The sequence below is a fragment of the Homo sapiens genome, chromosome 7 (assembly GCF_000001405.40).
Source record: "Homo sapiens chromosome 7, GRCh38.p14 Primary Assembly".
NCBI classification, from domain to species: Eukaryota; Metazoa; Chordata; class Mammalia; order Primates; family Hominidae; genus Homo; species Homo sapiens.
In genome coordinates, this window is record NC_000007.14 from 102,900,505 (window position 1) to 102,915,735 (window position 15,231).

The following is a 15,231-nucleotide window of genomic DNA, read 5'->3' on the forward strand; positions in this document are numbered from 1 at the left end:
TCGAGGTGAAAACCTTAAACATCTATGAATTGTCAATTTTCCTTCTATGAAGCTATTTTTGTACTACACCCAGAGCTGAAGAGGTAGATAGAGCCTCCTCAAAAGACTTAATAAGTCACTCAGAAGCAGTAACATTCAAACTTCACCGGTTCTTCATGAAGCTACAGCAGCAGCAATTACTAAGATATCTGTGCTTCACGACGAACCCATTTCTTACTCTCACTGGGCCTAAAGGGGCTCAATTTCAAACTCCACAATTTCTAGTGCCTGAAACAGTGCCTGACACTTAGAGGTAAATACTACTGAATTATTAAATGAACAGATGGAAATGAAAAAGGGATGAATGAAAGAAACTAACATTGTTTTGCATAATGATGTGAAATACTAACTTCATTGTGTTTTGAGGCTTACAAATTAAGAAGTGATTAGGAAAGGAATTCAATTCTTTACACATTTAGAAACTCAAATACTTACTGAGGCCAGGCAGGCAATGCGATTAAGTGGTAGCAGTCCAGGTGTGAATGCTTGTGCTGACCTTACTGAGTGGAGGAGAGGTTGGCAAACAGTGGTCCATCTCGAGGGAGGGAGGCTGACTTAGCTCCAGCCCATTGTGGCCATATGGAAATGCAGGTCCAATTCTGCTAGTTCTTCCCATTTTTAAAGAGAAGCTTGAAATCTAGAATGTTTTGTGAAAACTCCAAAATTTTACATATTGGCTTGAAATTTAAAGACAGATTATGTGTGTTTTGCAGTATTTATTTTATTTTTAATTTTTGTGGGTACATAGTAGGTGTATATATTTATGGGTTACATGAAATGTTTTGATACAGGCATGCAATGTGAAATAAGCACACTATGGAGACTGTGGTATCCATCCCCTTAAGCATTTATACTTTGAGTTACAAACAACCCAATTACACTCAAGTTCTTTTAAAATGTACAATTAAGTATTATTGACTATAGTTACCTTGTTATGCTATCAAATAGTATATCTTATTCTTTCTATTTTTTTTATAACCCATTAACCATTTCCACCTCAACCTCAAAGCCCCATTATCCTTCCCAGCCTCTGGTAATCATCCTTCTACTCTCTATGCCCATGAGTTCAATTGTTTTGATTTTTATTAGATCCCACAAATAAGTGAGAATATGCAATTTTTTTAAATACATCTCACAAATAAGTGATGGGGGATGTTTTTCTTTCTGTGCCTGACATAATGATCTCCAGTTCCATCCCTGTTGTTGCAAATGACTGGATCTCATGCTTTTTTATGGCTGAATAGTACTGCATTGTCTATATGTACCACATTTTCTTTTTCCAGTCATCTGCTGATAGACACTTAGGTTGCTTGCAAGTCTTAGCTGTTGTGAACAGTGCTGCAACAGACATAGGAGTGCAGATTTCTCTTTGATATACTGATTTCCTTTCTTTTGGGTATATACCCAGCAGTGGAATTGCTGTATCATATGATAGCTCAATTTTTAGTTTTTTGAGGAACCTCCAAACTGTTCTCCATAGTGGTTGTACTAATTTACATTCCCACCAGCAGTGTACTATGGTTCTCTTTTCTCCACATCCTCACCAGCATTTGTTATTACTTAACTTTTGGAGAAAAGCCATTTTAACGGGGGTAAGATGATATCTCATTGTAGTTTTGATTTGCATTTCTCTGATGATCAATAATGTTGAGCACCTTTTCATATGCCTGTTTGCCATTTGTATGTTTTCTTTGAGAAATGTCTATTGCATCATTTGCCCATTTTTTGATAGAACTATTAGAATTTTTCCTATAAAGTTGTTTGAGCTCCTTATATATTTTGTTTTTTAATTCCTTGTCAGATGGGTAGTTTGCAAATATTTTCTCCCATTCTGTGGGTTGTCTCTTCACTTTGTTGATTGTATCCTTTGCTGTGCAGAAGCTTTTCGACTTCATGTGATCTCATTTGTCCATGTTTGCTTTGGTTGCCTGTACTTGTGGGGTATTGCTCAAGAAATCTTTGCCCAGATCAATGTCCTGGAGATTTTCTCCAATGTTCTCTTGTAGTAGTTTCAAAGTTTGAGGTCTTAGATTTAAATATTTAATCCATTTTGATTTGATTTTTGCATACATTATGTATATAGTGTTATTCTTCTCCATATGGATATCCAGTTTTCCCAGCACCACTTATTGAAGAGACTGTCTTTTCCTCAGTGTGTGTCCTTGGCACCTTTGCTGAAAATGAGTCCACTGTCGGTGTATAGATTTGTTTCTGGGTTCTCTATTCTGTTCTATTGGTCTATGTGTCTGCTTTTATGTCAGTGCCATGTTGTTTTGGTTACTTTACTTCTGCTAATTTGAAGTTAGGTAATGTGATTCTTCTAGTTTTGTTCTTTTTGCTTAGGATAGCTTTGGCTATTCTGGGTCTTTAGTCGTTCCATATAAATTTTAGGATTTTTTTTTTCTATTTCTGTGAAGAATGTCACTGGTATTTTGATAGGGATTTCATTGAATCTGTAGATTGCTTTGGGTAGTATGGACATTTTAACAATATCAATTCTTCCAATCCATGAACACAGAATGTTTTTCCAATTTTTGGTGTCCTCTTTAATTTATTCATCAGTGTTTCATAGTTTTCATTATAGACCTCTTTTACTTTTTTGGTTAATTCCTAGTTATTTAACTTAATGTATGGTTGTTGTAAGTGGGTTTACATTTTTATTTCTTTTTCATATTGTTCACTGTTGGCATATAGAAATGCTACTAATTTTCGTAGGTCAATTTTTTATCCTGTGACTTTACTGAATTTATCAGTTCTAATAGTTTTCTTGTGTAGACCTTAGGTTTTTCCAAATATAAGATCGTATCATCTGCAAACAAGGATAATTTGACTTCTTCCTTTTCAATTTGGATGCTCTTTATATCTTTCTCTTGTCTGATTGCTCTAGCTAGGACTTTCAGTACTATGTTGAATAACAGTAGTGACAGTGGACATCCTTATCATGTTCCAGATCTTAAGAAGAAAGGCTTTCAGTTTTTCCCTATTCAGTATGATACTAGCTGTGGGCCTGTCATACATTGTTTTTATTATGTTGAGGTATGTTTCTTCTATCCCTAGTTTTTTGAGGGTTTTTCTTATGAAGGGATATTGAATTTTTTTTAATTTTTTTTCTCTCCTGCTCCATAATGCTACGTTGAGATGTTGAATTTGATCAAATGCTTTCCAGCATCAACTGAAATGATTATATGGTTTTTATCCTTCATTCTGTTGATGCTATGTGTCACATTGATTTATTTGCATATGTTGAACCATCCTTGCATCCCAGGGATAAATCCCACTTGGTCATGTTGAATGATCTTTCTAATGTATTGTTGAATTCAGTTTGCTAGTAGTTTTTTGAGGATTTTTGCATCAATATTCATCAGAGATATTGGCCTGTAGTTTTCTTTTCTTTTCTTTTTTTTTTTTTTTTTTTTTTTGCTGTATCTTTGTCTGGTTTTGGCATCAGGGTAATACTGGCCTCATAGAATTAGTTTGGAAGTACTCTTTCTTCCTCTACTTTTCAGAATAGTTTGAGTAGGATTGGTATTAGTTCTTCTTTAAATGTTTGGTAGAATTCAGCAGTGAAACCATCAGGTCCCAAGCTTTTCTTTACTGGGAGACTTTTTATTACAGCTTCAATATCATTACTTATTATTGGTCTGTTCAGATTTTGGATTTCTTCCCTGTTTAATCTTGGTAGCTTGTATGTGTCTAGGAATTTGTCCCTTTCTTCCAGATTTTCAAATTTGTTAGCATATAGCTGATCATAGCAGCCACTAATGATCCTTTGAATTCTGCAGTAACAGTTGTAATGTCTCAGTTTTCATTCTGATTTTATTTATTTGGATCTTCTCTCTTTTATTCTTTTTCTTTTTTTTTATACTTTAATTTCTAGGGTACATGTGCACAACGTGCAGGTTTGTTACATATGTATGCATGTGCCATGTTGGTGTTATTTTTTTTCTTAATCTTGCTAAACATTTGTCAACTTTGTTTAACTTTTCAAAAACCCACTTTTTGTTTCATTGATCTTTTTTTGTTGTCATTTCATTGATCTTTTTGTATTGGTTTTTTCATTTCAGTTTCATTTACTTCTCCTCTGATCTTTATTTCTTTTCTTCTAATAATTTTGGGTTTGGTTTGCTCTTGCTTCTCTAGTTCTTTAAGATGCATCATCAGATTGTTTATTTATAGTTTTTCCTCTTTTTTGATGTAGGCACTTATAGCTATAAACTTCCCTGAGTATTGCTTTTGCTGTATCCCATAGGTTTTGGTATGTTGTGTTTCCATTATCATTTGTTTCAAGAAATTTTTCAATTTCCTTCTTAATTTCTTCATTGGCCCACTGGTCATTCAGGAGCATATTGTTTAACTTCCACATATTTGTATCGTTTCCAAAATTCTACTTGCTATTAATTTCTAGTTTTATTCCATTGTAGTCAGAGAGGATGCTTGATATTATTTCAGTTTTTTTGAATGTTTTAAGATTTGTTTTGTGAACTAACATATGATCTATCCTTGAGAATGATCCATGTCCTGAGGAAAAGAATGTGTATTCTGCAGCTCTTGGATGAAGTGTTCTGTAAATATCTATCAGATCCATTTTGTCTATAGTGCAGATTAAGTCTGATGTGTCTTTGTTGCTTTTCTGTCTGGAAGATCTGTCCAATGCTGAAAGTGGGGTGTTGAAGTTTCCAGCTACTATTGTATTGGGGTCCATCTCTCTCCAGCACTAATAATATTTGCTTTACATATCTGGGTGCTCCAGTGTTGGGTGCATATATATTTAAAATTGTTATATCTTCTTGCTGAATTGGCTTCTTTATCATTACATAGTGACCTTCTTTGTCTGTTCTTATAGTTTTGGTCTTAAAACCTATTTTGTCTGATATAAGTATAGTGACTCCCATTCTTTTTTGGTTTTCATTGGCATGGAATATCTTTCTCCATTCTTTTATTTTCAGTCCATGTGTGTCTTTATAGATGAAGTCTGTTTCTTGTAGGCAAGAGATCAATGTATCTTGTTTTTTCATCCATTCAGCCATTCTATATCTTTTCATTGGAGAGTTTAGTCCATTTACATTCAATATTATTATTGATAAGTAAGGACCTACTTATTCCTGCTATTTTGTTATCTGTCTTCTGGTTGTTTTGTGGTCTTTTTCTTCTTTCTTTCCTTCCTGTCTTCTTCAACTGAAGGCAATTTTCTCTGGTGATATTATTTAATTTCTTGCTTTTTAGTTTTTTGTGTATCTACTGTATGATTTTTGGCTTGAAGTTACCATAAGGCTTGCAAATACTAACCTATAAACCCATTGTTTTAACCTGATAACAACACTGTTTGCATAAACAAACAAATAAACATACAAAAACTAATAAAAATTCTATGTGTATTAGTCCGTTTTCATGCTGCTCATAAAGACGTACCTGAGACTGGGAAGAAAAAGAGGTTTAATTGGACTTACAGTTCCACATGGCTGGGGAGGCCTCAGAATCATGGCGGGAGGCAAAAGGCACTTCTTATATGGCGGCAGCAAGAAAAAAACGAGAAAGATGCAAAAGCGGAAGCCCCTGATAAAACCATCAGATCTTGTGAGACTTATTCACTATCATGAGAACAGCATGGGAAAGACCTGCCCCCATGATTCAATTACCTCCCACAACACATGGGAATTCAAGATGAGATTTGGGCAGGGACACAGCCAAACCATATCACTATGCTTTAACTTTGTCCCCCTGCCCCACTTTTTAACTTTTTGATGCTTCTATTTATATCTCATTGTACTGATTATGTCTTGAAAAGTTGTTGTAGTTATTTTTAATTGGTTCATCATTTAGTCTTCCTACTTAGGATAAGAGTAGTTTACACACCACAGTTATTGTGTTATAAAATTCTGTGCTTTTCTGTGTACTTACTATTACTGGTGAGTTTTGCAACTTCAGGTGATTATTTATTGCTTGCTTTTCTTTCCGATTGAAGTACTCCCTTTAGCATTTCTTGTAGGACAGGACAGTTGATGAAGTCCCTCAGCTTTTGTCTAGGAAAGTATTTATTTCTCCCTCATGTTTGAAGGATATTTTTACCAGACATACTATTCTAGGGTAAAAGTTTTTTTCCTTCAGCATTTTAAAAATGGCATGTCATTCTCTTCTAGCATGTAAGGTTTACACTGAAAAGTTTGCTGCCAAATGTATTGGAGCTCCATTGTATGTTATTTGTTTCTTTTCTCTTGGTGCCTTTAGGATCCTCTCTTTGTCCTTGACCTTTGGGAGCTTGATTATTAAATGCCTTGAAGTAGTCTTCTTTGGGTTAGATCTGCTTGATGTTCTATAACCTTCTTGTACTTGGATATTTACATCTTTCTCTAGGTTTCTGGAGGTTCTCTGGTATTATCCCTTTGGTTTTTGTTTGTTTGTTTGATTGGGTTTTTTTTGTTTGTTTGTTTTTGTTTTTTTTGGTTTTTTGAGACTGAGTCTCGCTCTGTTGCCCAGGCTGGAGTGCAGTGGCACAAACTTGGCTCACTGCAACCTCCACCTCCCGGGTTCAAACAATTCTCTTGCCTCTGCTTCCTGAGTAGCTGGGATTACAGGCACCCACCACCACGTCTGGCTAATTTTTATATTTTTAGTAAAGACAGGGTTTCACCATGTTGGCCAGGCTGTGTTATTTCCCTTTGAAAAAACTTTCTACTTCTATCTCTTTGTCTACCTCCTCCTTAAGGCCAACAATTCTTAGATTTGCCCTTTTGAAATTATTTTCTAGATCCCGTAGGTGTGCTTCATTGTTTTTCATTCTTTTTTTTTATTATTATACTTTAAGTTCTAGGGTACATGTGCACCATGTGCAGGTTTGTTACATATGTATACATGTGCCATGTTGGTGTGCTGCACCCATTAACTCATCATTTACATTAGGTATATCTCCTAATGCTATCTCTCCCCCATTCCCGCCCCCCCACAACAGGCCCCGGTGTGTGATGTTCCCCACCCTGTGTCCAAGTGTTCTTACTGTTCAACTCCCACCTATGAGGGAGAACATGCGATGTTTGGTTTTCTGTCCTTGCGATAGTTTGCTGAGAATGATGGTTCCCAGCTTCATCCATGTCCCTACAAAGGACATGAACTCATCCCTTTTTATGGCTGCATAGTATTCCATGGTGTATATGTGCCACATTTTCTTAATCCAGTCTATCATTGATGGACATTTGGGTTGGTTCCAAGTCTTTGCTATTGTGAAGGGTGCCGCAATAAACAAGACATTTATGCAGCCAACAGACACATAAAAAAATGCTCATCATCACTGGCCATCAGAGAAATACAAATCAAAACCACAATGTGATACCGTCTCACACCAGTTAGAATGATGATCATTAAAAAGTCAGGAAATAATAGGTGCTGGAGAGGATGTGGAGGAATAGGAACACTTTTACATTGTCGGTGGGACTGTAAACTAGTTCAACCATTGTGGAAGACAGTGTGGCGATTCCTGAAGGATCTAGAACTAGAAAAACCATTTGACCCAGCCATCCCATTACTGGGTATATACCCAAATGATTATAAATCATGCTGCTATAAAGACTCATTCTTTTTTATTTTGTCTCCTCTGACTGCATATTTTCAAACAGTCTTTAAGCTCACTAATTCTTCTGTTTGATCAGTTCTGCTATTAAAGGACTCTGATGCATTCTTCAATATACCAATTGCATTTTTCAGCTCCAGAATTTGTTTCTTTTTAATTATTTCAATCTCTTTGTTAAATTTATCTGATAGAATTCTGAATTTCTTCTCTGTGTTATCTTGAATTAATTTGAATTTCCTCAACATAGCTATTTTGAATTCTCTGTCTGAAAGATTACATATCTCTGTTTCTCCAGGATTGCCCCTTGGTGCCTTATTTAGTTCATTTGGTAAGGTCATGTTTTCCTGGATGGTATTGATGCCAGTATTCTTCGGTGTCTGGGCATTGAAGAGTTAGGTATTTATTGTAGTCTTCACTGCCTGGGCTTATTTGTAGCCATCCTTCTTGGGAAGGCCTTCCAGATATTTGAAAGGACTTGAGTGTTGTAATCTAAGCTGTATCTGCTTTAGGGGGCACCCCAAGCCCAGTAATGCTGTGGTTCTCGCACACTTGTCAAGGTACCACCCTGTTGGTCTGGGACAAGATCTGGAAGAATTCTTTGGATTACCAGGCAGAGGCTCTTGTTCTCTTCCCTTCTGTTTCCCAAACAGAGTCTCTCTGTTCTGAACCACCCAAAACTGGTGGTAGAGTGAAACAAGCACCCCTGTGGCCTCCACCACTATGATTGCACTGGGTCAGACCTGTAGCTATCACAGCACTGGGTCTTGCCCAAGGCCTGCTGTAACCACTTCCTGGCTACTGCCATTGTTCACTCAAGGCCCTGGGGCTCTACAATCAGCAGGTGGCAAGGCCAGCCAGGCCTGTGTCCTCCTCTTCAGGGTGGTGAGGTCCCCCAGACCCCAGGTGAGTCCTTAGGTGCCCTCTGGGAATCAGGGATTAGAGTCAAAAACCTTAGAAGTCTACTTGGTGTTCTATTGCACTGCGGCTGAGCTGGCATGCAAACTATAGGATGCAGTCCTTCCCACTCTTCTGCCCCTTTCCAAAGGCAGAGGAACCTTACCCTGTAGCCACCGCCACCCCAGGCCATGAGTAGTATTGCCAGGCTACCAATGATGTTCTCTTATGGCCCAAGGGCTTTTAAGTCAGCTTGTGGTGAATGCTGCCTCACCTGGGACTCATCCTTCAGGGCAGTGGGTTCCCCTCTGGCCCAAGGCAGGTCCAGAATTGCCATACAAGAGTCAAGTCCTGGAATCGCGGACCCCAAGAACCTGCCTCGGTGCTCTACCCTCCTGTGGCCGTGCTGGTATCTAAGGTGTAAGACTGTCCCCACTGCTTTTCCCTCGCAAGCAAGAGTTTTGCCCCATAGCTACCCTAGCTGGTAATATGCTGAGTCTCACCTGAAGCCTGCAAGTCACAGAGGCTCACCCAAGGCCCTCAATGTAGTAGCTGGGTATTGCTGCTAGTTATTCAGGGCCCAAGGGCTCTTCAGTTAACAGGTGATGAATGTTGCCAGGACTGGGTCCCTTCCTTCAAGGCAGCAGGTTCCCTTCTGGCCCAGAGTGTGTCTAGAAATGTAACTTGGGAGCTAGAACCTGGAACGAGGGCCTTATGACTCTAACTGGTGCCCTATCCTGCCGTGGCTGAGCTGGTATCCAAGATGCAAGACAAAGTCCTCCCTACTCGTCCTTCTCCTCTCCTCAAGGGAAAGGAAGGGGTCTCTTTTGGATCGATGAGCTGTGAGGCTTGGGGCTGGTTGAGGGGCAATGCCAGTACTCCCTTGGCTGCTCCAGCTGGTGTCTCAGTATGTCATGTACCCCTCAGTCCACTGTCTCTGTGCCTAGTTGAGCACTAGGATTTGCCTAAGGGTTACAGTCCTTATGGCCTAGACTGCCTTTCAAGTTTACCTGGAGGCACAGCGCACTGTAGCCCTCAGTGGTGAGGTTTGTAGAACTCAAGTTCTGACTGCTGGGACTGGCAATTCCCCTGTGTCTAGGCCTGGGTTAAATGCTCCCTCCGTGGGTGGGCATCAGCTGAGTTTGGTCCAGTTTTCCTCTCTGATCCAACAGGACAGCACTAAGTTCAATGCCTCACAATTGGTGTATTTTCCCTTCCCCAGCACCCAGAGAGGCTCTCTGCACCATGTTGGAGGGGTGGCACTGGCGATTCAGGACTATTGTTTCTATCTCTTCAATGACTCTTTCAGTCATATGAAGTTAAAACCAGGTACGATGACTGCTCATCTGATTTTTGGTTCTTATGAAGGTGTTTTTTCTTTTTCTTTCTTTTTTTTTTCTTTGTGTGTTGGGGGGAGGGGGTCTTTATTCACATGGAGTGCTGTATGCGATGCCTGGGAAAAGCTCTCAGCCTGGTGTGTGCTTCAGCGTGGCTCGGGCTCCAATCTCTGTTTTCCAGTTTGTCACGGGCTCTCAACTGTAAATAGCCTATGCCCTGCTGGATGCCACCTTCTTAGACACCACGTGAATCCCCATGCACTGCTCCTCTTACCCCTTACCACCACCAAGCAGCTATTAGACACCTGAGGTCTCTGTCCTGTTAGTACCATGGGGCAGAAAGGTATGATACCTTTTTTCACCCATAAGGGTGACAGCCAACACTCCTAACAAAATACAGGCGTGCAAGAGAAAAGCATTAACAAATTTACTTAATTATTTGAGGCAAGGTCTCACTCTGTCTCCCAGGCTGGAACGCAGTGGTGGGATCACAGCTCGCTGCAGCCTCAATCTCCCAAACTCAGTCAATCCTCCCACCTCAGCCTCCCAGGCAGCTGGGACCAGAGGCATGCACCACCATGCCTGGCCAATTTTTTGCATTTCTGGTAGAGACGTGGGTCCCACCATGTTGCCTAGGCTGGTCTTGAACTCCTGGCCTCAAGTAATCCTTCTGCCTCAGCCTCCCAAAATGCCAGGACTACAGGCATGAGCCACCGCGCCCAGCCTAAAAGCATACAAAGGTGTTTTTTCTCTGTAGATAGTTGTTAACTTGGTGTCCTTGGGTGGGGAACAATGGGTGGAGCCTTCTGTTCCACCATCTTGCTTCACCTCCTCCAATTATGTGTGTTTTGTATGCATATCTGGGCAGTAGGTCATAGATTTGAAGCCTCTCATTTCAACTTTACTGTGTCTGAGAATATTTATCCTTAGGACACTTGTGTATACATTTGTGTGTTGTTGCTACAATAATTGCCTCATGGTAACTGAGAAATTGATAAGAAGAAGGAGGTAAGTCATACCATGAGGAGGGTTTAAGCACAACGGCGAGTTAGAAAAGTACTGAAGGATTTATAGTTAAGGGGCAGGCTTATCAGTGGGATATGTCAAGCACATTAAGTTGTTCCTGAGTTTGCAAATATTTTTCTCTGTGATTGGGCCATTGGCATTTGCTAATTGGTGCCCATCAAAGTTAGGCTTCTACCCACCCACAGGAACTGAGAGATATCTTCTTTGATGATTATATATCAAAGGGATAGATCCCAGGTCCTTGAGGAAGACTTTCCTGAGTTGTAAAACTGTCAAGAAGCTTTTGTTAAAAAGACATCTCAAAGTAGGCAGAGAAAGAACTTATAATTCCAAGTTTTCTAAAACAAATGCTCTAAGAAACAAGAAAACAAGAAGTCAGGGCCTAGAGTCAGTAAGAAGCTGGTCTAAAATTCAGTCATGCTGAGGAGAACGTCAATGCCATCTCAGTCATAAAGTTATGGTAGATGTTGATGTTTAAAAAGCTACACATCAGCAGATCAGTTTTAAACAAATATGAATGTTAGATGTTTACAGCCCTAACTTAGAATCCTCCCCTCCTTGCCCCAACTCCCTCCAGACCACCCAGGGCATCAGGATACCACAAGATGTCAGTGGAGGTGACTAGGTAAGAATTCTATCCATTCAAGAACCCTGGGGGAGAAACCCATGCTGCCCCTGTATTTCCCACTATCCCAGGGAACTCTGCCTGCCCCAGTATCTAGCAACAGATGCTTAAAACTGTACTAGTACCATGTGCTTTCATCAGCTGTGCAAACTTGGGCAACTTATTCAACCACCCTGAGCCTTGGTCTCTTCATTTGTAAATAAGCATAGTAAATACATACCACCACAGCACTGTATCAGAAGTAAATCTGATCTGTGTATAGCACTCAACACAATGCTTGGCATATGGTAATGACTCAAGAAATGATAACTATCAATATTTCAGCCAGTTCTCACCTATGCTATTATTCTCATAGAATAATGAACATACTATGACACCAAATTAATAAAATACACAGAGAGGCAGAAGAAAATAAGTTAAAAGAATTATGGCTTAAATCTTTTGAAATTAAAGCAGAAGAAACTATCAATGAGGCAGTAGCTACATCCAAAGCGCCATGCCCTATCCTCTGCAACTTGATCCAATTTTCTGCCCAACTTTCCAAGTCCTGTTCCCTCAAACTTAAAATATTTTCCCACGCAGATCTCAAATCTTCATGTTATTCAGCCCAACGGTGTAATGCAATTTTTTAAATTATGAGTTTTTGTTGTATTTTCTTTTCCTATTTATCACTTATAGCATTTTACCCCCCCCCCCCCAAAAAAAAACCCATGTGGGAGTTAATTGACTTTTCAGGAATCCCATGCAAAATTCTCCCTCAAAACATTCTCTTTGTTTGTGTCTTGGTAGCAACTCCAGAGTTTTCAGGACTTGGACTCTGCTTTAGACTTGTGCTCAGACTGTCTCCACAAAAGTGGTCCGTTTCCTCATCCAATGAGCTCTGCCTGTTTGTCTGTGTGACACTCCAGTGGAAGGAAGCCAAGAGCCTATAATAGCGATCCTGGGGAAAATTTCAGCAGCTGGGGCCATGTAATTTAAAACCTCTGAAAAGTGTGCTGCGGTCCGTGCACAGCATTAGTATAACGTGAGGGCTGAATGCAGCCCATTCTCTGGAGAACTTCCTCACACACCGCAGCAAAGAGAAGACTGAAAGACAAACCTGGGTGCAGCCAGAGAGGTCCAGATAGATGAGCTTGTGGCATCCATTCCCCAAGTTCAGGTACTGTAAGCCTTTGTCTGTGAACCGTCTGCAATAAGCCAAACTAAGATTCTGTAAGTTGTGGAAGTGCCTGAAAAGACAAAAGAGAGGAAGGAAAGTATTATACTTCCGTTGTTCTCTCAAATCTTTCTTAAGCCACTATGACAAAGAAAACTGTAAATTCAACTCTTCTTCTTGCAGATGTTCAACATTTAACTTTACTGTTAACTCTCTACCTGTTAATTAAAGGAGACTACAGTGTTATATAAGGTAACACACAATACATTTAATACCTTGTAATACATTTCAAGTGAAAGTATTAATAGTTCAATAATATTTGCCTAGATATTTAAGAAAGTTGACTGGGATAAAGCTTTTTTGGTGTGTGTGAGGTGGGGGAGGCAATCATATTGTTTGGAAGTGAAACCAAATTTGCAGAGTGTATTGTTGCTTTTAGGTTTTATCTCTGGAGTACCAAAATAATGTGCAAAATATATAAAAGGACAAATCCTTTGTAAACATTTAAATGGAGACTGTTACAGGAGAGTGAGGATTTGGGACAGAAGGCAAAACTGAATATGACCATGCTCTTAAAATAGATCTGATAAGCAAATGAGTTTAAAAAATAGGTTTAAATATGCATGAGTTTGTGACAGTTTCATTATTATAGTTAAAGAAAGACTAATTGATATGCAGAGTTTAAGCATGGATTAAGAAGACCAGTTTGCAAATAAGCAGGCAACACATGAGAAGAATCAAAAGCAACATCAGAGACTATAAATCTCGCTGGAGTTGAAACAGATTAAATATGGTATTACCACAATGACCAAAATGACAGCTTCCAGAAAAAAGTAGGGTAGTTAGGATGAGCCTGTACTACCATACGAGGGCTCGCAGTTTGAGGACACTCCGTGGACAATTTCCCAAGCCCTCCAAAGCCTGGAACTTTTTTTTGAGACGAAGTTTCGCTCTTGTTGCCCAGCTGGAGTACAATGGTGAGATCTTGGCTCACTGCAACCTCCTCCCCACTCCCCCAACCCCTGGTTCAAGCGATTCTCCTGCCTCAGCCTCCCAAGTGGCTGGGATTACAGGCGCGTGCCAACATGTCCAGCTAATTTTTGTATTTTTAGTAGAGACAGGGTTTCACCATGTTGGCCAGGCTGGCCTCGAACTCCTGACCTCAGGTGATCCACCCGCCTTGGCCTCCCAAAGTGCTCGGAACAGGCATGAGCCACCGTGCCCAGAAAGCCTGGCACTTTTTAAGAGGTCAAGGATTCCCACTACTATCTGCTCTTCTAATGGAATTAGCAATCATGCTCTTAGTTTGTGATATGCAACAGCTTAATAGCAAATTAGAAAGCAAAAAGAATGAAAAGTGAGGAGAAAATGCTTCTCTGCCTCTCAAAATCACACAGGTGAATAAAGTTTACCTCCCATAAATGGGAAATAAGATATACAAGCACTGACCATTAATCAGATTTTGAAAAACACATCTATATGATATAATGATTTGCATGCCATAGCGAATTACTTGATTCAGAACACACATCCCGATCTGGGAAGGGCTGTGTACGTGAGATTCGACAGAGCGAGGGGGAAGGCTTTGGACTCACCAGTGACTAGGTGGGCAGGGCCTGAAGGAGAAAGCAGTGCTAATATCCCAAAGACACGCCCCCTCTCTTGGGGCTGTCGAGTGGACTGAGCTGTGCTAAAGTTTTGGAAATGCGTTATCTTCCTCTCCCTGGGGTACACCCTGTGATTCAACTGAGTACAATTTTCTTGGGGTGGGGAGAGGCACACCAGGGTGTCATTTCTAGCAATCCTTTAGCTTTATAATCTGTAGAAAGGAGTTGTGAGGCAGGCCGCGTGACACAGTGCAAAATACACAAGGTTTTTGAATCCGGCCAAATGAGATGTAAATCCAAGCCCTGACACTTACTGCAACCTCCCTAATCTCTCAGAGATTGTTTTCTCATTTGTTAAGTGGAGATTAAAATATTTTTTTTTTTTTTTTTTTTACACTGATCAACTGTGGGGCCTCCAGCTTTCCTGAACCTCAGTTTTCTCATCTGGAACATGGATGTAATCTGGTCTGCTTGTTCCCTTTAAAGATGTGACAATTAAATGAGAATACAGAAGTAACAGTATTATCTTGAGGGTGATTTTAACAATCAAAATCGGCAGGGACATAGTAGAAGATTTAAAACTATATGTAATATTATTGCTACTACTATGTGAAATGATAGTAACACATTAACTATTTTTATGGACTTTGTATTATTCTTCCATTTAATGAAATGGATACTTATCTCCAAGAGTGGTGCATACAATAATTCCAAGAGTTTGAAGGATTTCACATTGAATGTATACCTCGATCTACACCTAGTATTCAATTTCTTTAAATCCATGTGATCAGTTAACAAATATCAAAAATGAGAACTGAGCTAGGAGTGCTTAACTTTTTTTAATGTCACAGACACCTTTGGCTTTTGGCAGTCAGCTGAGGTCTCTGGCCCCTTTCTTGGCATAAAGTTTTTAAATGCATAAAATAAAATATATAAGATTACAAAAACAGCCAATTATATTGAAATACATAATTACCAAATAAAAA

General features: G+C 39.6%; 2 protein-coding genes across 25 annotated transcripts in view, besides 1 other annotated feature; one reads left to right on the plus strand and one right to left on the minus strand.

Annotated features, from left to right (window-relative positions):
- Positions 1-15,231, minus strand: part of FBXL13 (F-box and leucine rich repeat protein 13) — a 263,608-nt gene that overhangs the window by 89,316 nt on the left and 159,061 nt on the right. For all 21 annotated transcript variants that reach the window (NR_105043.2, XR_927410.4, XM_017011850.3 and 18 more), the window contains one exon: positions 12,582-12,711. Coding sequence is in view for 19 of the 21 variants with exons in the window: in XM_017011850.3 (XP_016867339.1) it covers positions 12,582-12,711 (130 nt within the window). In the remaining 2 variants the exon portion in view is untranslated. The remainder of the gene's footprint in view (positions 1-12,581; positions 12,712-15,231) is intronic.
- Positions 162-663: an enhancer, noted in NCBI's record as "NANOG hESC enhancer chr7:102541113-102541614 (GRCh37/hg19 assembly coordinates)". NCBI's record gives its function as "activates a minimal SCP1, AML or CMV promoter by ChIP-STARR-seq in naive H9 embryonic stem cells {active_cell/tissue: H9 hESC(naive)}" and the evidence as "EXISTENCE:reporter gene assay evidence [ECO:0000049][PMID:30033119]".
- LRRC17 (leucine rich repeat containing 17) overlaps positions 12,496-15,231 on the plus strand; it is a 32,112-nt gene continuing 29,376 nt past the window's right edge. For 3 of the 4 annotated variants that reach the window (XM_005250108.2, NM_005824.3, NM_001031692.3), the window contains exon 1: positions 12,496-12,641. The gene's annotated coding sequence lies outside the window, so the exon portion shown is untranslated. Of the gene's footprint in view, positions 12,891-15,231 lie in introns of all 4 variants that reach the window. The other variant, XM_047419717.1, reaches the window with a different exon arrangement.